Source organism: Homo sapiens, chromosome 1, assembly GCF_000001405.40.
Source record: "Homo sapiens chromosome 1, GRCh38.p14 Primary Assembly".
NCBI lineage: Eukaryota > Metazoa > Chordata > Mammalia > Primates > Hominidae > Homo > Homo sapiens.
In genome coordinates this window covers 32,788,598-32,813,620 of record NC_000001.11, presented here as the reverse complement: position 1 = coordinate 32,813,620, position 25,023 = coordinate 32,788,598, and the positions used below count along the sequence as shown (strand labels likewise).

At 45.5% G+C, this 25,023-nt stretch overlaps 1 protein-coding gene across 2 annotated transcripts in view, besides 5 other annotated features; it reads left to right on the top strand.

The window, feature by feature from the left end:
• YARS1 (tyrosyl-tRNA synthetase 1) overlaps nt 1–25,023 on the top strand; it is a 42,120-nt gene that overhangs the window by 3,738 nt on the left and 13,359 nt on the right. Inside the window, exons 2-6 of one of the 2 annotated variants that reach the window (NM_003680.4) lie at nt 2,564–2,710; nt 2,855–3,030; nt 7,010–7,139; nt 15,778–15,858; nt 22,367–22,459. In NM_003680.4, the coding sequence (NP_003671.1) occupies nt 2,564–2,710; nt 2,855–3,030; nt 7,010–7,139; nt 15,778–15,858; nt 22,367–22,459 (627 nt within the window). The remainder of the gene's footprint in view (nt 1–2,563; nt 2,711–2,854; nt 3,031–7,009; nt 7,140–15,777; nt 15,859–22,366; nt 22,460–25,023) is intronic. The other variant, XM_011542347.3, reaches the window with a different exon arrangement.
• Nucleotides 2,016–2,651: an enhancer, noted in NCBI's record as "H3K27ac-H3K4me1 hESC enhancer chr1:33276571-33277206 (GRCh37/hg19 assembly coordinates)". NCBI's record gives its function as "activates a minimal SCP1, AML or CMV promoter by ChIP-STARR-seq in primed H9 embryonic stem cells {active_cell/tissue: H9 hESC(primed)}" and the evidence as "EXISTENCE:reporter gene assay evidence [ECO:0000049][PMID:30033119]".
• Nucleotides 2,652–3,288: an enhancer, noted in NCBI's record as "NANOG-H3K27ac-H3K4me1 hESC enhancer chr1:33275934-33276570 (GRCh37/hg19 assembly coordinates)". NCBI's record gives its function as "activates a minimal SCP1, AML or CMV promoter by ChIP-STARR-seq in naive H9 embryonic stem cells {active_cell/tissue: H9 hESC(naive)}" and the evidence as "EXISTENCE:reporter gene assay evidence [ECO:0000049][PMID:30033119]".
• Nucleotides 8,255–8,928: an enhancer, noted in NCBI's record as "H3K27ac-H3K4me1 hESC enhancer chr1:33270294-33270967 (GRCh37/hg19 assembly coordinates)". NCBI's record gives its function as "activates a minimal SCP1, AML or CMV promoter by ChIP-STARR-seq in naive H9 embryonic stem cells {active_cell/tissue: H9 hESC(naive)}" and the evidence as "EXISTENCE:reporter gene assay evidence [ECO:0000049][PMID:30033119]".
• Nucleotides 8,929–9,603: an enhancer, noted in NCBI's record as "NANOG-H3K27ac-H3K4me1 hESC enhancer chr1:33269619-33270293 (GRCh37/hg19 assembly coordinates)". NCBI's record gives its function as "activates a minimal SCP1, AML or CMV promoter by ChIP-STARR-seq in naive H9 embryonic stem cells {active_cell/tissue: H9 hESC(naive)}" and the evidence as "EXISTENCE:reporter gene assay evidence [ECO:0000049][PMID:30033119]".
• Nucleotides 14,204–14,333: an enhancer, noted in NCBI's record as "active region_697". NCBI's record gives its function as "activates an Ori minimal core promoter by ATAC-STARR-seq in GM12878 lymphoblastoid cells {active_cell/tissue: GM12878}" and the evidence as "EXISTENCE:reporter gene assay evidence [ECO:0000049][PMID:35858748]".

Here is a 25,023-nt window from a genome sequence, read left to right as displayed (position 1 = left end):
AGGCCAGGTGTGGTGGCCCACACCTATAATCCCAGCCCTTTGGGAGGCTGAGGCAGGTGGATCATTTGAGGTCAGGAGTTTGAGACCAACCTGACCAACATGGTGAAACCCCATCTCTACTAAAAATACAAACAATTAGCTGAGTATGGTGTTGGACGCCTGTAATCTCAGCTACTCTGGAAGCTGAGGCAGGAGAATCACTTGAACCCTGGAGGCGGAGGTTGCAGTAAGCGGAGATCACAGAACTGTGCTCCAGCCTGGGCAACAGAGTGAGACTCCATCTTGAAAAAACAAAAAGTATCTGAGACAAGTCTCAATTAATTTAGAGGTTTATTTTGCTAAGGTTAAAGACCATGGCACCTGACACAGCCTCAGGAAGTTCTGAGAACATGCGTCCAAGGTGGTTGGGTTACAGCTTCGTTTTATACATTTTGGGGAGACAGAAGTTACAGGCAAAAACATAAATCAATACAAGTAAGGTATACATTGGTTTGCCCAGAAAGGGGGTGGGGGTTCTAGGTTCTAGGTGGATTCAAAGATTTCCTGACTGGCAATTGATTGAAAGAGTTAAACTCTGCCTGAAGAATTGAAGTCAGCTTGAGTTAAGATAAGGAGGGTTGTGGAAGCCAAGGTTTTTTTTTTTTTTTTTTTGGAGACAGAGTGTCGTTCTTGTTGCCCAGGCTGGAGTGCAATGGTGCAATATTGGCTCACTGCAACCTCCACCTTCCAGGTTCAAGCGATTCTCCTGCCTCAGCCTCCCGAGTAGCTGGGATTACAGGCGCCTGCCACCATGCCCTGCTAATTTTTGTATTTTTAGTAGAGATGGTTTCACCATGTTGGCCAGGCTGGTCTCGACCCCTGATCTGATGATCTGCCCGCCTTGGCCTCCCAAAGTGCTGGGATTACAGGCGTGAGGTGCTGCACCCAGCTGAAGCTAAGGTTCTTGTCATGTAGATGAAGCCTCCAGGTAGCTGGCTTCAGAGAGAATTGATGGTGAATGTCTGTTATCTGACCTTAAAAGGTGTCAGACTTTCCAGAAAAGACTTAGTGTGGGGAAGAGATTTCTCTACAGAATGCAAATTTCCCCCCACAAGAGAGTTTTGCAGGGCCATTTCAAAATATGTCAAAGAAATATCTTTTGGGGTAAAATACTTTGATTTCCTTTAGGGCCTGCTATCTGTCATATGGTGCTATACCAGAATCAGTTTGGAATTTGGTATCTTATTGCTACAGAGAGTTTGTTTTGTCAGTCTTACTATCTGTGTTTTAATGTTCATGCTGGTCAGTTGTGTCTAAACTCCAGAGGATCACCAGGTGGGGTGGCTCACGCCTATAATCCCAGCACTTTGGGAGACTAAGGCCAGAGGATCACTTGAGGCCAAGAGTTCGAGACCAGCCTGGGCAACATAGTGAGACTTCTCTACTAAACTGAAAAAACTAGCCAGGCATACATGTGCTGGTAGCCCCAAGCTACTTGGAAGGCTGAAGTGGGAGGATTGTTGAGCCTGGAGGTCAAGGCTGCAGTGAGCTGTGTTTGCACAACCGGACTCCTGCCAGGGCAGCATAGCAAGACCTTGTCTCAAAAAAAAAATGAATAAATATACTCCAAAGGGAGAAGGGTATAATGAGGCATGTCAGACCCTTCCTTCCTGCCTTGGCCTGAACTAGTTTTTTAAGTTTCTTTGGGATCCTGTTGGCCAAAATGTGGGGTCCATTCCGACAGTTGGGGGGCTTAAAGTTTAGTTTTGGTTTACGGGTAGCTGCTGCAGGCAAAGATGCAGTTAGGGGCATGTCCCCACTCCCCAACATCAAGGGTGATACTAGCAGCAGCACCAACTTTACATTGGCTCTCCGCGTTGTAACCGAGCGAGTTATAGAGAAACGCCACACTCTGAGATGAATTCAGGAGTCCTTTATTAGCCAGCGACCGAGAGATGGCTAGTGCTCAAAATTCTCTCCGCCCCGAAGAAGGTGCTAGATTTTCTTTTATACTTTGGTTTAGAAAGGGGAGGAGGAGCCTAGCTGAAGCAATCTTACAGAAGTAAAACAGGCAAAAAAGTTAGAAAGACAAATGGTTACGGGAAAACAAACAGTTCCGGGCGCAGGGGCTTTAAATCCATCACAAGGTGATAGACGCGGAGGCTTTGGGTACCATCAACCAGACACAAATGCTGGGGCTTAGGGTAATATCAACTGGGCAAATTCCTGGGAACTGCGGCTATAGCTTTCCACAATATCTTATCAGTTATTTGCGTTCTTTGATGTGCTGGGAGTCAGCTTGCACAAGTTAAGTCCTTGAGGAAGGGGGGTGGGTAAGAGGCTGCAAGGGGCTACAAGTGAAGGAGCCAAAATGGAGTTTGTCTGGCTCTCTCAGCTAAGGGAGAGTCAATTCAGATTAAAACAAGGTAGGGTATCACATCTGCACTGAGAACATGGCTGGACCTCCTTGATGGCTCTGAGCCTGGATCTCCACTGACACATGCTGTTGTTTTCCTTGTCACATGGTAAAGGATGAGCAAGGTGAGGCACTGACATTAAACTAACTCTTCTGCTTCCACAATAGGAGGTTCTGGGGGAAGAGAAGCTGAAGGAGATACTGAAGGAGCGGGAACTTAAAATTTACTGGGGAACGGCAACCACGGGCAAACCACATGTGGCTTACTTTGTGCCCATGTCAAAGATTGCAGACTTCTTAAAGGCAGGGTGTGAGGTAAGAACTAATGCTATAAGCCCTTGGGGAATGACCCAAGGGAGACCCAAGAGAGACTTAACAAGGACAGGGTGGGGCTGGAGGAGACAGGTTGGAGGTAATTGGACAAATTCACATTTTGGTGGCCCCTTATCTCTTGTCCAGGTAACAATTCTGTTTGCGGACCTCCACGCATACCTGGATAACATGAAAGCCCCATGGGAACTTCTAGAACTCCGAGTCAGTTACTATGAGAATGTGATCAAAGCAATGCTGGAGAGCATTGGTGTGCCCTTGGAGAAGCTCAAGTTCATCAAAGGCACTGATTACCAGCTCAGCAAGTAAGTGCTTGATCATCCACCCTCCTTGTGGCTCTGGTGCTTCTAGCTAATTACAGGCCTGTGGAGTCCAGGCATTCTTTACATTTAGATTAGAAGCTGTCTGGCGTGACCTATTAAGAACCATTTAAAACTTTGTCCATTAAAACCTCATTGTCCTTGTAATTCATCCATCAGAAGTGTACTGACTAGTAAATGCCTTAATACTGTCCTATTTGCTGGAAATATAAACGTAACCAAAACAAAGTCCTTGGCCTTGCAGAACTCACAGCATATGGGAGAGTGATGGTGAACAATTCAGCCTCCCTTTCTCTTCCAGCCTCAGCAAATAATAATAAAAGAAATGTGAAAGAAAAATATTTCACTTATTTCTCACCGCCCCAACAATTGTTATTGCTTTTTATCTTTGTGAGTTTTGTTCATATTTGGAATGTTAGCATAGATATTTCGTGTCCTAATGTTTAACTTACTCTTTTTTTTTTTTTTTGAGGTGGAGTTTTGCTCTTGTTGCCCAGGCTGGAGTGCAATGGCGCGATCTTGACTCACTGCACCCTCTGCCTCCTGGGTTCAAGAGATTCTCCTCCCTCAGCCTCCTGAGTACCTGGGATTACAGGCATGCGCCACCACACCCGGCTAATTTTTGTATTTTTAGTAGAGACAGAGTTTCACCATGTTACCCAGGCTGACCTCTAACTCCTGAGCTCAGGTGATCCGCCCACCTCGGTCTCCCAAAGTGCTGGGATTATAGGCATAAGCCACTGCGCCCAGCCTAACTTACTCTTTCTTAACCTCAGATATGCATTTATAAGTACATAGCGCTCTATTAGTCACTTTTGCATTTAAACCCTTAGAACAACTTTTTAAAGTAAGCATTATTTTGCTAAGGAAATTAATTCAGATTTAACTTTCCTGAGTTTATACATCTAGTAAGTAGATGAGTCAGGATGTGAACCCAGATCTCTTGCTTACTAGTAACTTTCTCTTTTTACTGCATCTAATATAATTTTCTTTACCATTCCTCACTGTTGATACAATTAGGGCTTTAAATAAAGCATATAGGCTGGGCAGGGTGGCTCACATCTGTAATCTGAGCACTTTGGGAGGCCAAGCTGGGAGAATTGCTTGAGGCCAAGAGTTCAAGACTGCCCTGGCCAACATGGCAAGTCCTCATCTCTAAAAAAAAAGAAAAGAAAGAAAGAAAAATAGGGCCAGCCATGGTGGCTCACACCTGTAATCCCAATGCTTTGGAAGGCTGAGGTGGGCACATCACTTGAGGCCAGGCGTTTGAGACCAGTCTAGCCAACATGGCGAAACCCCATCTCTACTAAAAATACAAAAATTTACCTGGGCGTGGTGGCATACACCTGTAATCACGGCTACTCGGGAGGCTGAGGCATGAGAATCACTTGAACCCAGGAGGTGGAGGTTGCGGTGAGTGGAGATCATACCACTGCACTCCAGCCTGGGCAACAGAGTGAGACTCCATCTCAAAAAAAAAAGAAAAGAAAGAAAAAGAAATGAATAAATAAAGCATATGAACATCTTTGAATCTACAGCCTTCGTAGAGTACCTGAAATTTTATTCATTTTTACACTTAATCTACAGATCTTTATGGAACCCCTGGTATATGATAAGCACTGTTCTAGATACTGGATATGCAAAAGTAAGCCAAAACAAAAGTCCCTATCTTAATGGGGCTTACATTCCAGCAAGGAAATACAGACAGTAAATAATGAGTTATATGTGTATCAGATGGCGATAGCTGAAACAAAGCAGGCAGGCCAGGGTAGCGAAAGTTTTCAGGAAGCGGGGGGTTTCAATTTGAATGAGTTGGTTAGGGAAGCCCTCTCTACTAAAATGACATTAGGCAGAAACCTGAATAAGGTGAGGGAGTGAGTCTTGCAAATATATATTGAATTCTTGCTATGTGCGAGACACTAGTCTAGGCACTGGAGTTATACCTGTGAAGAACACAGGCATGGTTTTTATTCTCCAAGAACTTAAGAAAATTTGGGATATGGGAAGGTGGGATAAATAAAGTTATCTTGCTTCAAAGTCACTTGATACTTTTCTATATACAAAAATGACTTTAGGGCCAGGCATGGTGGCTCACGCCTGTAATCTCAGCACTTTGGGAGGCTGAGGTCAGGAGTTCAAGACCAGCCTGGCCAACATGGTGAAACCCCATCTCTACTAAAAATACAAAAATTAGCCAGGTGTGGTGGTGCACGCCTGTAATCCCAGTACTCAGGAGGCTGAGGCAGGATAATCGCTTGAACCCACGGGGCAGAGGTTGTGGTGAGCCGAGATCGCACCACTGCACTCCAGCCTGGGCAACAGAGCGAGACTCTGTTTCAAAAAAAAAAAAAAAATGGTGGGGGAGTGGGGGTTGCTGGATGCAGTGGCTCATGCCTGTAATCCCAGCACTTTGGGAGGCCAAGGCAGGAGAATCACTTGAGCTCAGGAATTCGAGACCAGAGTGGGCGTAGCGAGACCTCATCTCTACTAAAAATCAAAAAAATTAGCTAGGCATCATGGCATGCACCTGTAATCCCAGCTACTTGAGAGGCTGAGGTGGGAGGATCACTTGAGCTGAGATCAAAGCTTCAGTGACTATGATTGTGCCATTATACTGCAACCTGGGCAACAGAGCAAGATCCTGTCTCAAAAACAAAAAAACATGGAAATAGATTGGGAAATTTTGATATCAGTTGAAAAGGCATTCCAAATGAAGAGACTGAAGGAGAATGGCAGAGAAGCAGTGTTTCAAGAGATAATGGCAGAACGTTTTCCAGAAGTGAAGAAAAATACTAATTGAAGCCCTCTTTTAAAAAGAAAAACAAGCCCGCTACTGTGGCTTGTTTTCCCAGCACTTTGGTAGGCTGGGGTGGGCAGATTGCTCGAGCCCAGCAGTTCCAGACCAGCCTGGGCAATGGGGGGAAACCACGTCTCTACAAAAAATAGAAAAATTAGCCAGGTGTGGTGGCACATGCCTATAGTCCTAGTTCCTTTGGAGGTTGAGGTGGGAGGATCACCTGAGCCCAGGGAGATTGAGGCTGCAATGAGCTGTGATCACACCACTGTGTTCCAGCCCAGGTGACAGAGTGAGACCCTGTCTCAAAAAAAAAAATAAAAGGAAAAACATAAAAATAAAGTAATATTTTAGATGAGAAGATAGGTCTATCACATTTTAGAAGCTACCAGGCAGTGCTCTGTTTGAATGTCCTAATGTAACTGGACCCAGGTTTGGCTGCCCGGCCACTTGAAAGCCCGACACAAGAGATATGGGTTGGTAGGAGGAAAAGCAGGTTTGATCAGAAAGCCAACAAACCGAGAAGATGGTGAACTAGTGTTCTAAAGTACTATCTTAAATTCTAAATGTTACCATAGTGTTTTTAAAGGGAGACTTGGTGTGGGAGACATGCAGGAGTGGTGAGAATGCAGGGTCTGTCTGTCTTTGTTCTGATGGCTGTCTTGCATAATTGCCTGTCAGGAGGTATGGTTGGTGTTATCTTGACTTCAGACTGATGGTGATGGACTAATCGTTCCAGACTCCCTCTGAGCAGGAGGATTCTGCAGTCTGGGCTCCATGCCTAGTTTGTTTCAAGATTAGCTTCTGTGATTTCTTTTTTTCCAACTTTTATTTTAGATTCAAGGGGTGCATGTGCAGGTTTGTTACATGTCACAGGAGTTTGGTGTACAGACAATTTTGTCACCCAGGTAATCAGCACAATACCCAATAGGTAGTTTTTGAATCCTCACCCTCCTCTCTGAAATTTCTTAAGCAAGAACATAATTAAATAAGCATGCATTGCCAGAAGGGAGGGAAAGAAGAAGAAAGTTGGTGATTAAAATATATTTTTAAAACCGAGATCCCTGGTTACACTAAGGTTAGGGAAGTAAATTAATGTGCTTTAGATTTCCTAGGAAACTGAGGCCTAGGCCCAGGTTTACAGCTGTCCCCTCTTCCTTTCCTCTTCAGAGAGTACACACTAGATGTGTACAGACTCTCCTCCGTGGTCACACAGCACGATTCCAAGAAGGCTGGAGCTGAGGTGGTAAAGCAGGTGGAGCACCCTTTGCTGAGTGGCCTCTTATACCCCGGACTGCAGGTACTTAAGGGGGATGGAGTGGCCCGATGACCTTTTCTGCTCTGGTTTGATGACAGGCATATCTTATTGCACTTTGCTTTACTGCACTACGCAGATATTGTGTTTTTTACAAATTGAAGGTGTGTGGCAACCCTGTGTACAGCAAGTCCACCAGCACCATTTTTCCAACAGCATGTGCTCACTTCGTGTCTCTGTGCTACATTTTGGTAATTCTCACAGTATTTCAAGCTTTTTCATTATTATCATATCTGCATGGTGATATGCGATCTGTTACCTTTGATGTTAAATATTGTAATTGTTTTGGGGCACCACAAACTGTGCCCGTATAAGACAACGAACTTAATAAGTATTGTGTGTGTTCTGACTACTCTACCATCCAGCCATTTCCTCACTCTCCTGGCCTCCTCATTTCCTAAAACACAACAATATTGAAATTAGGCTAATTAATAACCCTACAATGGCCTCTAAGTGTTGAAAGGGAGAGTCACACATAGCTCACTTTATTTATTTATTTATTTTTGAGACGGAATCTCGCTGTGTCGCCCAGGCTGGAGTGCAGTGGCGAAATCTCGGCTCACTGCAACCTCCGCCTCCCGGGTTCAAGCAATTCTCTGCCTCAGCCTCCCGAGTAGCTGGGATTACAGGCGCCTGCCACCATGCCCGGCTGATTTTTTTTGTATTTTTAGTAGAGATGGGGTTTCACCATCTTGGCCAGGCTGGTCTTGAACTCTTGACCTCATGATCCACCCACCTTGGCCTCCCACAGTGCTGGGATTATAGACGTGAGCTACCGTGCCCGGCCGCACATCTGTCACTTTAAATCTACACCTAGAAATGATTAAGCTTAGTGAAGAAGGAATGTCAAAAGCGGAGGCAGGCGGAAAGCTCGGCCTCTTGCACCAAATAGCCAGGTTGTGAATCCATAGGGAAAGTTCTTGAAGGAAATTCAAAGTGCTACTCCAGTGAACACCTGAAAAATAGAAACAGACATAAGTTTCACTTATGCTGATATAGAGAAGATTGTAGTGCTCTGGATAGAAGATGAAACCAGCCACAATGTTACCTTAATCTAAAGCCTACTCTAGAGAAAGGCCCTGTCTTCAGTTTTATGAAGGCTGAGAGATTGGTTCATGACATTTAAAGGGAAAAAAGCCATCTCCATAACATAAAAGTGCAAGGTGGCTCTCCCTCTCTCCCTCTCTCCCTCTCTCCCTCTCCCCCTCTCCCCCTCTCCCCCTCTCCCCCTCTCCCCCTCTCCCCTTTCCACCGTCTCCCTCTGATGCCGAGCCGAGGCTGGACTGTACTGCCGCCATCTTGGCTCACTGCAACCTCCCTGCCTGATTCTCCTGCCTCAGCCTGCCGAGTGCCTGGGATTGCAGGCGCGTGCCGCCACGCCTGCAATTTGTATTTTTTGGTGGAGACGGGGTTTCGCTGTGTTGGCCGGGCTGGTCTCCAGCTCCTGACCGCGAGTGATCTACCCGCCTCGGCGTCCCGAGGTGCCGGGATTGCAGACGGAGTCTCGCTCACTCAGTGCTCAATGTTGCCCAGGCTGGAGTGCAGTGGCGTGATCTCAGCTCGCTACAACCTCCACCTCCCAGCCGCCTGCCTTGGCCTCCCAAAGTGCCGAGATTGCAGCCTCTGCCTGGCTGCCACCCCATCTGGGAAGTGAGGAGCGTCTCTGCCTGGCCGCCCATCGTCTGGGATGTGAGGAGCCCCTCTGCCCGGCCGCCCAGTCTTGGAAGTGAGGAGCGCATCTTCCCGGCCGCCATCACGTCTGGGAAGTGAGGAGCGTCTCTGCCCGGCTGCCCATCGTCTCAGATGTGGGGAGCACCTCTGCCCCGCCGCCCCGTCTGGGATGTGAGGAGCGCCTCTGTCCGGCCGCGACCCGGTCTGGGAACTGAGGAGTGTCTCTGCCCGACCGCCACCCCGTCTGGGAGGTGAGGAGCGTCTTTGCCCAGCCGCCCCGTCTGAGAAGTGAGGAGCCCCTCCGCCTGGCAGCCGCCCCGTCTGGGAAGTGAGGAGCGTCTCCGCCCGGCAGCCGCCCCGTCCGGGAGGTGGGGGGCAGCCGCCGCCCGGCCAGCCGCCCTGTCCAGGAGGGAGGTGGGGGGCAACCCCCGCCCGGCCAGCCACCCCGTCCGGGAGGGAGGTTGGGGGTGCCTCTGACCGGCCGCCCCGTCTGGGAAGTGAGGAGCCCCTCTGCCCGGCGGCCACCCCGTCTGGGAGGAGTACCCAACAGCTCGTTGAGAACGGGCCATGATGACGATGGCGGTTTTGTCGAATAGAAAAGGGGGAAATGTGGGGAAAAGAAAGAGAGATCAGATTGTTACTGTGTCTGTGTGGAAAGAGGTAGACATGGGAGACTCCATTTTGTTCTGTACTAAGAAAAATTCTTCTGCCTTGGGATGCTGTTAATCTATAACCTTACCCCCAACCCCGTGCTCTCTGAAACATGTGCTGTGTCCACTCAGGGTTAAATGGATAAAGGGCGGTGCAAGATGTGCTTTGTTAAACAGATGCTTGAAGGCAGCATGCTCGTTAAGAGTCATCACCACTCCCTAATCTCAAGTACCCAGGGACACAAACACTGCGGAAGGCCGCAGGGTCCTCTGCCTAGGAAAACCAGAGACCCTTGTTCACATGTTTATCTGCTGACCTTCCCTCCACTATTGTCCTATGACCCTGCCAAATCCCCCTCTCCGAGAAACACCCAAGAATGATCAATAAATACTATTAAAAAAAAAAAGTGCAAGGTGAAGCAGCAAGCCCTGATGTAGAAGTTGCAGCAAGTTACCCAGAAGATCTAGCTAAGATCATTGATGAAGGTGGCTACACTCAACAATGGATTTTCAAGGTAGATGAAATAGCCTTTTTTCGGAAGAAGATGCCATCTCGGACTTTCGTAGCTAGAGAGAAGTTGATTCCTGGCTTCAAATCTTCAAAGGACAGGCTGACTCTCTTGTTAGGAGCTAATGCAGCTGGTGACTTGAAGTTGAAGCCAATGCTCATTTACATTCCAAAAATCCTAGTGCCTTTAAGAATTATGCTAAATAGGCCGGGCATGGTGGCTCATGCCTGTAATCCCAGCACTTTGGGATGCCGAGGTGAGCAAATCACTTGAGGCCAGGAGTTCGAGACCAGCCTGACCAACATGGTGAAACCCGGTCTCTACTAAAACTACAAAAAAAAAAAAAAAAAGAAGAATTAGGCCAGGCATGATGGCTCACACCTGTAACTCAGCACTTTGGGAGGCCGAGGCAGGCAGATCACGAGGTCAGGAGTTCGAGACCAGCCTGGCCATCATAGTAAAACCCCGTCTCTACTAAAAATATTAATTAGCCGGGCATGGTGGTGCGCAACTGTAGTCCCAGCTACTCAGGAGGCTGAGGCAGGACAGTCGCTTGAACCCGGGAGGTGGAGATTGCAGTAAGCCGAGATCGCACCATTGCACTCCAGCCCGGGCAACAATGCAAGACTCTGTCTCAAAAAAAAAAAAAAAAAAAAAATAGCCAGGCGTTGTGGCGCGCATCTGTAACCCCAGCTACTCGGAAGGCTGAGGCAGGAGAATCACTTATACCCAGGAGGCAGAGATTGCAGTGAGGTGAGATCACACCACTGCACTCCAGCCTGGGTAACAGAGTGAGACTCCATCTCAAAAAAGAATTATGCTAAGTCTACTCTGCCTGAGCTCTATAAATGGAACAACAAAGCCTGGATAGTAGCACGTCTGTTAACAGTATGATTTACTGAGCATTTTAAGCCCACTTTTGAGACCTACTCCTCAAAAAGAAAGATTCTTTTCAAAACATTACTGCTCATTGACAGTGCACCTGATCACCTAAGAGCTCTGATGGAGAGCTTCTGTAGAGCTTGAGATGTTCAGGAGTTGAATGTTATTTTCATGCCTGCTAACACAACATCCATTCTATAGCCCGTGGATCAAGGAGTGATTTCAACTTTCAAGTCCTACTATTTAAGAAATATATTTCAAAAGGCTATAGCTGCCATAGATAGTGACTCCTCCGATGGATCTGGGCAAAGTAAACTGAAAACCTCTGAAAAGGATCCAGCATTCTCGGTGTTATTAAGAATATTCGTGATTCATGGGAGGAAGTAAAAATATCCATATTAACAGAAGTTTGGAAGAAGTGGATGGTAACTGTCATGGGTGACTTTGAGGGGTTCAAGACTTCAGTGAGGGAAGTCACTGTAGATGGGGTAGAAATAACAAGAGAACAGGCCGGGCGCGGTGGCTCACGCCTGTCATCCCAGCACTTTGGGAGGCCGAGGCGGACGGATCACGAGGTCAGGAGATCGAGACCATCCGGGCTAAAACGGTGAAACCCCGTCTCTACTAAAAATACAAAAAATTAGCCGGGCGTAGTGGCGGGCGCCTGTAGTCCCAGCTACTTGGGAGGCTGAGGCAGGAGAATGGCGTGAACCCGGGAGGCGGAGCTTGCAGTGAGCCGAGATCCCGCCACTGCACTCCAGCCTGGGCGACAGAGCGAGACTCCGTCTCAAAAAAAAAAAAAAAAAAAAAAAGAAATAACAAGAGAACTACAATTAGGAGTGGAGCCTGAAGATGTGACTGAATTGCTGCAATCTCATGATAAATTTTGAACAGATGAGGAATTGCTTCTTATGGATGAGCAAAGAAAGTGGTTTCTTGAAATGGAAACTACTGGTGAGGATTCTGTGAACGTTGTTGAAATGGCAACAAAAGATTTTGAATATTACATAAACTTCGTTGATAAAGCAGCAGCAGGGTCTGAGAGGATGGACTCCAATATTGAAAGAAGTTCTGCTGTGGACAGAATGCTATCAAACAGCATCACCTGCACCAGATAAATCTTTCGTGAAAGGGAGAGTCAATTGATGTGGCAAACTTCATTGTTGTCTTATTTTAGGGAATTGCCACAGCCACTGCAGCCTTCAGCAACCACCACCCTGATCAGTCAGCAGCCATCAGACATGGAGGCAAGACCCTCCACCAGCAAGAAGATTATGACTTGCTGAAGGCTCAGATGATCGTTAGCATTTTTAGCCATACCTTAACCAAATTAAAGTATGTACGTTGTTTTTGTAGATGTAACGCTATTACACACTTTAAATAGACTACGGTATAGTGTAACCACAACTTTTATATGCACCGAGAAACAAAAAAATCCAAGTGAGTCACTTTATTGTGGTTGTCTGGAACTGAACCCACAGTATCGCTGAGGTATGCCTGTACTGTACACAAACCTCTCTCCTGGCACCAGTTAAATATATGCATTTTCTATTCCTTCTCCAACCTATAGGCCTTCCTGTGTGTCTCTCGTCTTCCTTCCCCGCTTCCTGGGAAGCTCTTTTACTTCTTCCATTATAATTCCTTCTCTACCTGTCTGTCCTTTAAGACATTGTTCATCTCATACATCTTTATATTAATCATAATCCTTTTTATCATAATCTTAATAAAGGAAATAAACTTCAGAGCGATATGTGAAAATAAATTTGAGCATGATCCTATTTTCTGTTAAAACAAATACATGTTTTAACAGAAACATCCTTCTGTTTCCTTTGTGTGCACATATATTTGTACGAGCAAGGAGAAGGGTAGAAAAATACAAACCAGGCGGGTGCAGTGGCTTACGCCTGTAATCCCAGCACTTTGGGAGGCCAAAACGGGCAGATCACGAGGTCAGGAAATCGAGACCATCCTGGCTAACATGGTGAAACCCCATCTCTACTAAAAATACAAAAAATTAGCCAGGTGTGGTGACGGGCGCCTGTAGACCCAGCTACACAGGAGGCTGAGGCAGGAGAATGGCATGAACCTAGGAGGCGGAGCTCGCACCACTGCACTCCAGCCTGGGTGACAGACAGTGCAAGACTCCATCTCCAAAAAAAAAAAGAAAAGTACAAACCAAGCTGTTGATACTGTTTACCTTGTGAAGGCAGGATGAAAATATGGATAGACTTCACTTTTTCTTTGTATATCTGTATAATTTTTTTTAATTAAATTTTTTGTAGAGACAGGGTCTCACTATGTTGTCTAGGCTGGTCTTGAACTCCTGGCCTCAAGTGATCCTCCTGCCTTAGTCTCCCAAAGTGCTGAAATTGCAGGCGTAAGCCAACACGTCTAGCCCTTTATAATGCTTGATATGAGAAAATAAAATTTTCCCTTGTCACCTCAAAGAGATATTTTCCAAGGTTAAACCTGGAGCTGGGCGCAGTGGCTGGCACCTGTAATCCCAACACTTTGGGAGACCAAGACAGGCAGATCACTTGAGGTTGGGAGTTCAAGACCAGCCTGACCAACATGGTGAAACCCCATCTCTGCCAAATAATACAAAAATTAGCCAGGTGTGGTGGCATGCCCCTGTAGTCCCAGCTACTTGTGAGGCTGAGGTGGGAGAATCGCTTGAACGCAGGAGGTGGAGGTTGCAGTGAGCCGAGATCATGCCACTGCCCTCCAGCCTGGGTGACAGAGTGAGACCCTATCTTAAAAAAAGAAAACCCGGAGACATGCTAGTTCTGCACTGTTGGCTGGGCGCCATGGTTTATGCCTATAATCCCAAGTCCAAGGCAGGAGGATCGCTTGAGGCCAGGAGTTCAAGACCAGCCTAGGCAACGTAGCAAGACTCCATCTCTGTTTTATTCTGTGTGTGTGAGACTCCATCTCTAAAAAAAAAGAAAGAAAGAAAAAACTAGGTCTGTACTGTCTAATGTGGTAGCCTCTAGTCCTAGTCATATGTGGCTATTAAATAAAATGGAAATTTTTGTTCTCTAGTCACATTGGCTATATATCAAGTTCTTGGTTAGCTACTATATTGGACAGCACAGACATATAATATATTCATCACCACAGAAGATTCTGTTGGATAATGCTGTTCTAGACTGTTCCTGCTTGTTCAGCCTTCTCTTCCTCTTCCCTTCAGCCAATTATGCACTAAATCTTATCGATTCTACTTTTTTAAAATGTCTTAAATTCATTCTTGCTCTGCGTCCTCATTGTCTTTTGTCCATCGATATTTCTCACTTAGACTTTCACAATAGCCTTTGAGGCATTCACTTTGTCTCCAACCCATGAGTCTCCAGTCTCTGCCCTGCCCTGTTACTGTTGAGATCTTCCTACAGTGCTGGTCATATTTCTCCTCTCCTTAAAACCTTTCATTGGCCAAGATAACACTAGGCACCCTAGCATGACATTTCATGGTCTTTACCTACTTTTCTAACCTCATCAGTCACTACTTCCCACCTCCCTTGAAGTTCGTACTTTTGCAGACTGAATCACTCAAAATTTCCCTAAACACTTCACACCTCTGTGCCTTCTCACATTCTATTTCCTCTGCATGGTGAAAAACATCTATATGTTGTTCAAAACCAAGCTTAGCCCACAATCTGATTCTAGGAAGACTTCTCCACACCCATCTTACTAAATAGAGATAATTTCTTCTTTTATGTCAACACTGTTCCTTATATGAACATCTGGGTTAACCCTTAGCACGCTGAGTTGAAATGATCTGTTTACATGTCTCTCCCCAGCTGGATAATTGGGCTTCTTGAAGGGAGAGTCTGGGTCTGATTTATCTCACCATCCACGGAGCTGGCAGCAGGCCTGGCATGTCATAAGTGACAGTCACTGTTTTATTTATTTATTTTAATTTAATTTTATTTTTTGAGACAGGGCTTCACTCTGTCTCCCAGGCTCGGGTGCAGTGGCACGATCATGGCTCACCGCAGCCACGACCTCTCTGGGCTTAGGTGATCCTCCTACCTCAGCCTCCTGAGTAGCTGGGACTATAGATGCGCACCATCACACTTGGCTAATTTCTTTTTGTTTGTTTGTTTGTTTTTTATTTTTGGAGAGACACCCGGGCTCAAGTGATCTTTCCACCTCAGCCTCCCAAAGTGCTGGGATTACAGGCGTGAGCCATCGCACCCAGACAGTCACTGTTTTCTAGTTCAGTCTTACCTTTTTCCCGAATTCTCACAGGACTTCTTTATGCTACTTATATTTCATTTGTCACAGGCCACCTTATTCAGTAGAATACCTTTGGCATGACTATGGTTTGTTTTCTTCTTCTCTCCCTCCCTGCAGGATTCTGCATATCCTGAGGGCAGAGACTACTCTTATTTTTTTATCCCATGACATCCACATAGAGTAATGTTCACCGCAAACACTCAGCAACTGTCTTTGCAGCTTTTGAGGCCAAGAGGGAAGCTGACTGCTGTTTATTTTCTTCTTGGCTTTACCTTCTGAAAAATCTAGTAATTTCCTAAAGTTTCTGATTTCTCAGACCCATATAGAAGAAATAAAGTAGATGTTTAGGCTGGGCATGGTGGCTCTCGCCTGTAATCCCAGCACTTTGGGAGGCCAAGGTGGGTGGCCAAGGTGAGCTCAGGATTTTAAGGCCAGCCTGGGCAACATGGCAAAACGTTGTCTCTACTAAAAATACAAAAAATTAGCCGGGCGTGGTGGTGCATGTCTGTAATCCCAACTACTCGGGAGGCTGAGGCAGGAGACTCACTTGAACCTGAGAGGCAGAGGTGGCAGTGAGCCGAGATCACGCCACAGCACTCCAGCCTGGGCGACAGAGCGAGACTCTGTCTCAAAAAAATAAAGTAGATGTTTATGTTCATGTGTTTCTTTCCACAGGCTTTGGATGAAGAGTATTTAAAAGTAGATGCCCAATTTGGAGGCATTGATCAGAGAAAGATTTTCACCTTTGCAGAGAAGGTGAGTGTCTGCTTTCCTGTCTTTTTTCACTTGCACCTCAGAGGTATGCAGCTGTGTTTATTGAACTATGATGTGTCAGTCCCACTAGTCATAGTGTATGGTAAATATTCTCCTTGTTTTGCAGATGAGAACACTGAGGATAGAAGATAAGAAGTTGTCCAATATCACACAGTTAGTAACTGAGCAGGAATTATTAGTACCCAGATCTTTCAAACTCCAGAGCCCATGTGCCTGGTGACAACCAGGAAGCTGCTCCCGCACCTGTTGGATTTACTCCTTTCCTAATAGCCCAGTTTCCAAGGAGAGGCATTACCAGTTGGAACTACTGTCCTTTCACAGAGCATTTGGTTCGCATTTCCCAGCATCTTTTTCTTTTTCTTGTCTTTTTTTTGAGACAAGTTCTCACTCTGTCGCCCAGGCCAGAGTGCAGTAATGCGGTCATGGCTCATCACAGCCTCGACAGCCTGGGCTCAAGCAGTTCTCCCACCTCAGCCTCCCAAGTAGCTGGGACCACAGGTGCATGCCACAACACCCGGGTAGTTTTAAAATTACTTGTAGGGATGAGGCCTCCCTGTGTTGCCCAGGCAGGTCTCAAACCCCTGGGCTCAAGCAGTCTTCCTGCCTTGGCCTCCCAAAGTGCTGGGATTATAGGTGAGATCCACTGTGCCTGGCTTAGTTTTTTGATATAGTTAATGAATACAGAAATGCTTACTATATATATATATATATATATATATATATATATATATATATATATATATATATATTTTTTTTTTTTTTTTTTTTTTTTTTTTTTTGAGACTGAGTTTCGCTATTGTCACCCAGGCTGGAGTGCAATGGCTCACTCTCGGCTCACTGCAACCTCCACCTCCCGGGTTCAAGCGATTCTCCTGCCTCAGCCTGCCGAGTAGCTGGGATTACAGGTGCCTGCCACCATGCCTAGGTAATTTTTATATTTTTAAGTAGAGATGGGGTTTCACCATGTTGGCCAGGCTGGTTTTGAACTCCTGACCTCAGGTGATCCACCCATCTCAGCCTTCCAAAGCACTGGGATTACAGGTGTGAGCCACTGCACCCAGCCACAATATAAATTTTTTGAGGGCCAGGCACTGTGGCTCATGCCTGTAATCCTAGCACGTTGGGAGGCTGAGGCAGGAGGATCATTTGAGCCCAGGAGTTTGAGACCAGCCTGGGCCACATAGCAAGACTCTGTCTCCACAATAAAATAAAAAATTAGCCAGGCACGCCTCTGTAGTCCCAGCTATTCAGGAGGCCGAGGCAGAATAATTGCTTGAGCCCAGGAGGTGTGATCCTGGCTGCAGTGAGCCATGATCACACCATCACACTCCAAACTGGGTGACAAAGCAAGACCTTGTCTCTGAAAAAAAAAACAAAAAAGAAAAAAATAAATACATTTTTTGATTATTTCTTATTATTTGTTTTTTGTTGTTTTTTGTTTGTTTTTTAAAGACAGAGTCTCACACTGTTGCCTGGGCTGGAGTGCAGTGGCGCGATCTCGGCTCACTGCAACCTCTGTTTCCCAGGTTCAAGTGACTCTCTTTGCCTCAGCCTCCCAAGTAGCTGGGATTACAGGTGCCTGCCACCACACCCGGCTAATTTTTTTGTATTTTTAGTAGAGACGGAGTTTCACTATGTTGGCCAGGCTGATCTCGAACTCCTGACCTCATGATCCACCCATCTCAGCCTGTCAAAGTACTGGGATTACAAGCATGAGCCACTGCACCTGGCCTATTATTTCATTGTATCTGCTTGATTAACTTTTTAGTTGGACCTCCTTTTATTATTAAAGCAGGGATTTGGCCCATACCTTGTTTTTGTATGACTCATGAGCTAAGAATGGTTTTTACATTGTTTAAGGATTGTGAAAAAAGATGAAGAATAAGCAGTAAAGAGCATATGTGGCCCATAAAGCCTAAAATCTTTTTTTTTTTTTTTTGAGAGGGAGTCTCGCTTTGTCACCCATGCTGGAGTGCAGTGGCACAATCTTGGCTCACTGCAACCTCTGCCTCTTGGGTTCCAGCAATTCTCCTGCCTCAGCCTCCCAAGTAGCTGGGACTACAGGCGCGTGCCACCACACCCAGCTAATTTTTGTATTTTTAGTAGAGACAGGGTTTCACCATGTTGGCCAGGAATGGTCTTGATCTCTTGACCTCATGATCTGCCCGCCTTGGCCTCCCATAGTGCTAGGATTACAGACGTGAGCCACTGCACCCAGCCCCTAAAATCTTTATTAACTGGCCCTTTCTAAAACAGTTTGCCCATCCCTGCCCTAGAGATTACAACACATATCCTTGCAATTTATTACAGTTTAAGTTAGATATTTTTACCACTGCCCAACAATGCAAGAAACAGTTTTACTACATTTTTCCTCCAACAACAGTTGGAGTAAAACTCATTTTTTGTTTGTTTGTTTTTTGTTTTTTGAGATGGAGTCTTGCTCTGTCGCCCAGGCTGGAGTGCAATAGCGCCATCTCGGCTCACTGCAACCTCCACCTCCCGGGTTCACGCCATTCTCCTGCCTCAGCTTCCCAAGTAGCTGGGACTACAGGCGCCCGCCACCACACCCTGCTAATTTTTTGTATTTTTAATAGAGACGGGGTTTCACCGTGTTAGCCAAGGTGGTCTCGGTCTCCTGACCTCATGATCCTCCGACCTTGGCCTCCCAGAGTGCTGAGATTACAAGCGTGAGCCACCGCGCCTGGCAAAACTCATCTTTTTTTTTTTTTTTTTTTTTTTTTTGAGACAGAGTCTTGCTCTGTCACCAGGCTGGAGTGCAGTGGCGTGATCTTGGCTCACTGCAACCTCCGCCTCCCGGGTTCAAGCCATTCTCCTGCCTCAGCCTTCCGAGTAGCTGGGATTACAGGCTCCCAACCATGTCCAGCTAATTTTTGTATTTTTAGTAGAGATGGGGTTTCACCATGTTGGCCAGGTTGGTCTCCATCTCCTGACCTCGTAACCCACCTGCCTCGGCCTCCCAAAGTGCTGGGATTACAGGCATGAGTCACCGCACCCAGCCTCAAAACTCATTTTTGACATAAATTTTAAATCCCTTGGCTGGGCGCAATGGGTCACTCCTGTAATCCCAGCACTTTGGGAGGCCAAGACAGGCAGATCACCTGAGGTCAGAAGCTTGAGACCAGCCTGGCCAACATGATGAAACCCCGTCTCTAGTAAAAATACAAAAATTAGCCAGACGCAGTGGTGTGCACCTATAATCCCAGCTATTCAAGAGGCTGACACAGGAGAATTGTTTGAGCCTGGGAGGCAGAGATTGCAGTAAACTGAGATCGCACCATTGCACTCCAGGCTGGGCAACAGAGAGAGACCTTGTCTCAAAAATAAAATAAAATAAATCTTAAAGACTTTACTACCATTTTTTTTTTAATTTTTCTGAGACTGAGTCTCCCTCTATCACCCAGGCTGAAGGGCAGCGGCATGATCTCGGCTCACTGCAACATCCGTCTCCCTGGTTCAAGGGATTCTCGTGCCCCAGCCTACTGAGTAGCTGGGATTACAGGTGCCCGCCACCACGCCCGGCTAATTTTTGTATTTTTAGTAGAGATGGGGTTTCACCATGTTGGCCAGGCTGGTCTTGAACTCCTGACCTCAAGCTGTCCACCCACCTTGGCCTCCCAAAGTTCTGGGATTACAGGCGTAAGCCACTGCGCCCAGCCTGTAATTGTTTTTTAAGTCACTTTTCATCTATATCTACCCCTACTTCCCCTTTCTGATACTCTTGATTCTTGTCTGCAGTTCTTTGCTTCTGTGTGAGTTCATTTTCCTTCAACCTAAAGAGCCCCCACTTAGTATGTGTTTGTAGTGCAGTTCTTTCAGTAATGAGTTCTTTCAGCTTTCTTTTATCTGAAAACATCTTTCAATTTCTTTCACTGGGTATGAAATTGGAAGTTTGCAATTATTTTTCTTTTGGCACTTTTAAAGGATCATTGCATTGCCTTCTGGCTTCCATAGTTTCGACTGAAAAGTCACCTCTAAGTTTATTGTTTCTCCTTTACAGATAATATGTCTTTTCTCTGCTTTTAAGATTTTTTCTTGTTTCTGATTTTCAGCAATTTTACTATGATGTTTTTGTTGTTGTTTTCTTTGAGACAGGGTCTTGCTTGCATTGCCCAGGCTGGAGTGATTGATCTTGGCTCACTGCAGCCTTGACTTCCTGGGCTCAGATGATCCTCCCACCTCAGCCTCCCAAGTAGCTGGGACTATGGGCATGTGCCACCACACCTGGCTAATTTTTGTATTTTTTTTTGGAGATGGAATTTCACCATGTTGGCCAAGCTAGTCTCAAACTCCTGAGCTCAAACGCTTTGCCTGCCTTGGCCTCCCAAATTGCTAGGATTACAGGTGTGAACTGCTGTGCCTGACCAGCTATGATGTTTTCAGCTATAGTTTTCTTTGTATTTATCCTGCTTAGATTTTGCTGAGCTTCTTGAATCAGTGGATTTGTTTTCATCAAATTTGGGAAATTGTCTGCCATAATTTCCTCAAATACTGCTTCTCTCTTATTCTCTTTCTCCTCTAGGGACTTTATAAAACTCATGTCTCATATTCTGTTCTGCTGTTTTCCTTTCTTTGTTCCCTCTGTGCTTTACTTTGGATATGTTCTATTGAACTTTCTTCAAGTTTATCAATCGTGTCTTCTGTTAAATCCAGTATTGTATTGTGACATTTTAGAACTTCCATTTGATTCTTTTTATAGATTCCAATTGTCTTTTACAATTCTCTTTCATCCATTTTGTCTGCCTTTTCTTATTTCCTTTTTGGTTTGTTTTTCCTGCCTATTCTGCCTATGTACTCTTATTTTCTTTTATTTATTTATTTATTTATTTTTATTTTTATTTTTTTTTGAGATGGAGTCTCGCTTTGTCACCCAGGCTAGAGTGCAGTGGCGCAATCTCAGCTCACTGCAAGCTCCGCCTCCTGGGTTCATGCCATTCTCCTGCCTCAGCCTCCCGAGTAACTGGGACTACAGGCACCCACCACCACGCCCAGCTAATTTTTTATATTTTTAGTAGAGACGGGGTTTCACCGTGTTAGCCAGGATGGTCTCGATCTCCTGACGCCTGCCTCGGCCTCCCAAAGTGCTGGGATTACAGGCATGAGCCACCATGCCCTGCTTATTTTCTTTAACCTACCAATCACAGTTATTTTGGCATCATGGTCTATTTATTGCAATATCTGGATTGTTTCTGAATCTGCTTCTATTGGCTATTTTAACTGTCAGCCACTTTTCTCTGCTTCCCATTTCTAGTATTTTTTTGTATGTGTGTATCAAAGGGATTATAGATGCATTGTAGACCCTCCGGATTGTGTTTGTAGGATGCTATGTTTTCTGTAGATTGCTAAATTACTGACTTATCACCTGGGTTCTGTCAGGGGTTGGTTTTAGGCTTTGTTAGAACGTCTACTTCAGCTTAGCCTTTACTCCTGTGGTGTGGTCCTTGTTCCTAGAGCATGGCCTTTCTAGAGACTCAAACTGAAATATCATGGTGTTCACAAAGCCTTCTCTACTTTGATTGGAGCTAAACTTCCATCTCTGTCTCCCCAATACTGTGCAGCCTCCAAAATCTCTGCCCAGGTCTCCAGCCTCCCAGAACCTGTTCTCTGCCAGACTTCCTGGTATCTCACTATGTGCATACACAGCTATGAGTCAGCCAAGAAATCAGTGGGGAATTTTGACATAGGCTGAGGAACCCATCCCAATCCCTAGCCTCCTCCAGCCCTGAACTCCAATAGCTGTTTCCTCTGCTTAGTCTTTCGCTGTCTGCTTGGTCTCTTTTTATCAGCACCTGGTTTGCAAAGAAATACCCTCAGTGAGAAAGCCCAAGGCAAGTGTGGTCACCTTACTTCCCTTCGCTCAAGATTTGCTGCCCTGTTGGGTTTTGTTTTGTTTTTTGTTTGTTTTGTTTTTGTTTTTGTTTTTTGAGATGGAGTCTCGCTCTTGTCGCCCAGGCTGGAGTGCAATGGCACGATCTTGGCTCACTGCAACCTCCGCCTCCCGGGTTCAAGTGATCCTACTGCCTCAGCCTCCCGAGTAGCTGGGATTACAGGTGCCTGCCACCACGCTTGGCTAATTTTTGTATTCTTAGTAGAGATGGGGTTTCACCATGTTGGCCAGGCTCATCTTGAACTCCTAACCTTAGGTGATCCACCCACCTCAGCCTCCCAAAGTGCTGGGATTACAGGTGTGAGCCACCATGCCCGGCTTGCCCTGTTGTTTTATGTATTTCCAGCTTTTATTGTTGTTTATGGTGACATAAGTCCAATAGCCTCACAATGTAATACTGATAGAAAAGCAGTAGGGAAAAAAACTTCGCTTGAATTACAGTCACTGTCAAAGCTACATATTTAGTATAAAAAGATTGGAAGCAATATAACAACTACTCAGTTGCTGGCCAAGTCAGATGAGATCAGGGCACTGAGGAGGAACTTAGACTAATATCGGCTTTTGTGTGTTTCTCTAATCTCTCAGTACCTCCCTGCACTTGGCTATTCAAAACGGGTCCATCTGATGAATCCTATGGTTCCAGGATTAACAGGCAGCAAAATGAGCTCTTCAGAAGAGGTAAGTTGCCAGCTGAGACTTGAATTTAGAAATCTTCAGCCTCAATGGAGAGATTGAGGACTGAAAAGAACAGTGACCTGGCTAACTAGAATTCTCCAATATTTGAGTTAGAAGGAGCCTTACACCATTCAATTAGTTTAGTGGTTCTTGAGTATCAAAGGATCCAGAGCAGTCCTGATGAGATCTAATCATAACTTAATGGTTTTTGCTGCTGATAAAAAAATAAAAGCAAAAGTAATGTCTTTGTTCATACGACTGTGATGAAATTCAGCCTTATTAATGAGAGCACTATGGTTGCATTTCACTAATTAGCATTTTGATTCCTAGGGTAATACTTGATATCACTAATATTATGATATCTTTTAATATTTAAGAGTCCCTCTTGAGCTCGTGTACTTGAGGGAAAGTTCACTTTGGTTCTGATCATTAGAACGTGGAAATCCAAAGATGTGAAAGGTTGAGTTCTGGGTTCCCAAACATGGCTTACCTTCAGAATCATCTAGGGAATTTAAAAAAAAAAAAAAAAGTGTTGATTAGACCTTGTCCATAGAGATTCTGATAAAGTAGTTCTGGGAGGAACTTAGGAATCTGTATTTCCTTCCTTCCTTCCCTTTCTCTCTCCCTTTTTTTTTTTTTTTTTTTTTTTTTGAGATGGAGTCTCACTCTGTCACCCAGGCTGCAGTGCAGTGGTGCGATCTCAGCTCACTGCAAGCTCCGCCTCCCAGGTTCATGCCATTCTCCTGCCTCAGCCTCCCAGAGTAGCTGGGACTACAGGCGCCCGCCACCATGCCTGGCTAATTTTATTTTGTATTTTTTTAGTAGAGATGGGGTTTCACTGTATTAGCCAGGATGGTCTCGATCTCCTGACCTCGTGATCCACCCACCTCAGCCTCCCAAGGTGCTGGGATTATAGGCGTGAGCCACTGCACCCAGCCAAAAAGTTTTTAAAAATACAAATTAAAAAAAAAAAAAAAAAAAAAGGCCTGCGTGGTGGCTCACGCCTGTAATCCCAGCACCTTGGGAGGCCATGGCAGATGGATACTTGAGGTCAGGAGTTCGAGACCAGCCTGTCCAACATGGTGAAACCCCATCTCTACTAAAAGTACAAAAATTAGCCAGTCGTGGTGGCAGGCGCCTGTAATCCCAGCTACTAGGGAGGCTGAGGCAGGAGAATTGCTTGAACCCAGGAGGCAGAGGTTGCAGTGAGCCAAGATCACACTGTTGCACTCCAGCCTGGGCAACAAGAGCGAGACTCCCTCTCAAAAAAAAAAGGGCCAGGCACAGTGGCTCACACCTGTAATCCCAGCACTTTGGGAGGCCAAGGCGGGTGGATCACCTGAGGTCAGGAGTTCCAGACCAGCCTGGCCAACATGGTGAAACCCCTTCTCTACTAAATATATAAAAATTCAGCTGGGTGTGGTGGCATGCACCTGTAATCCCAGCTACTCGGGAGGCTGAGACAGGAGAATTGCTTGAACCCAGGAGAAAGAGGTTGCACTGAGTCAAGATTGCATCACTGCACTCCAGCCTGGGCCACAGAGTGAGACTCCGTCTTAAAAAAAAAAAAAAAAAATGCCTGGCCCAATCCCAAGAGATTTTGATTCATTAGGTTTGGGTGGAACCCAGTAAAAGGTGATTCATATACTGTCACATGTGAGCTAGAATTTGGTAACCACTGAACTCAAATGACCATGAACTCACTCTTTCCAAATAAGAAACAAAGCCTATTACCTAAAAAGGAAAAATGGCTGTAGATAATATATAATACTTAGTGTGGCTGATTGCTGTGAACAAGTATCCTCACACATTGTCGACAGCAATGTTGATTAGGATACCTTTCAAAAAACAATTTTGAACCTAGCAATTTTCGGCATCTTAAGGAAATGATTCTAGAGAAGGGAAAAGACTGCAAAGATGTCCAATGTAGCATTATATATAATTTGTAAAAATTAGGATAGAATCTAACAGTTTGGAGTTTGCTAAATTATGTTTCCACTAATAATTGGGAATATAATATGGCATAAAAACTATAAGTAGGCCACACATTGTGGTTCACACCTGTAATCCTAGCACTTTGGGAAGCCAAGGTGGGCAGATAGGTTGAGTCCAGGAGTTCAAGACCAGCCTTGGCAACATGATAAAATCCCATCTCTATAAAAAATTTTAAAAATTAGCTAGGCATGGTGGCATGCACCAATAGTTCCAGCTACATGGGAGGCTGAGGTAGGAGGACTACTTGAGCCTGGGAGGCAAAGGTCGCAGTGGGCCATGATTGTGCCACCACACTCCAGCCAGGGCAACAGAGCAAGCAAGATCCTATCAATCCCAACACTTTGGGAAGCTGAGGCAGGAGGATTGCTAGAGGCCAGGAGTTTGAGATTGTCCTGGGCAACACAGTGAGACCCCATTTTAACAAATAATTAGCCAGGCATGCCAGGTGCGGTGGCTCACGCCTGTAATCCCAGCACTTTGGGAGGCCAAGGCGGGTGAATCACCTAAGGTCGGGAGTTCGACACCAGCCTGACCAACATGGAGAAACCCCGTCTCTACTAAAAATACAAAAT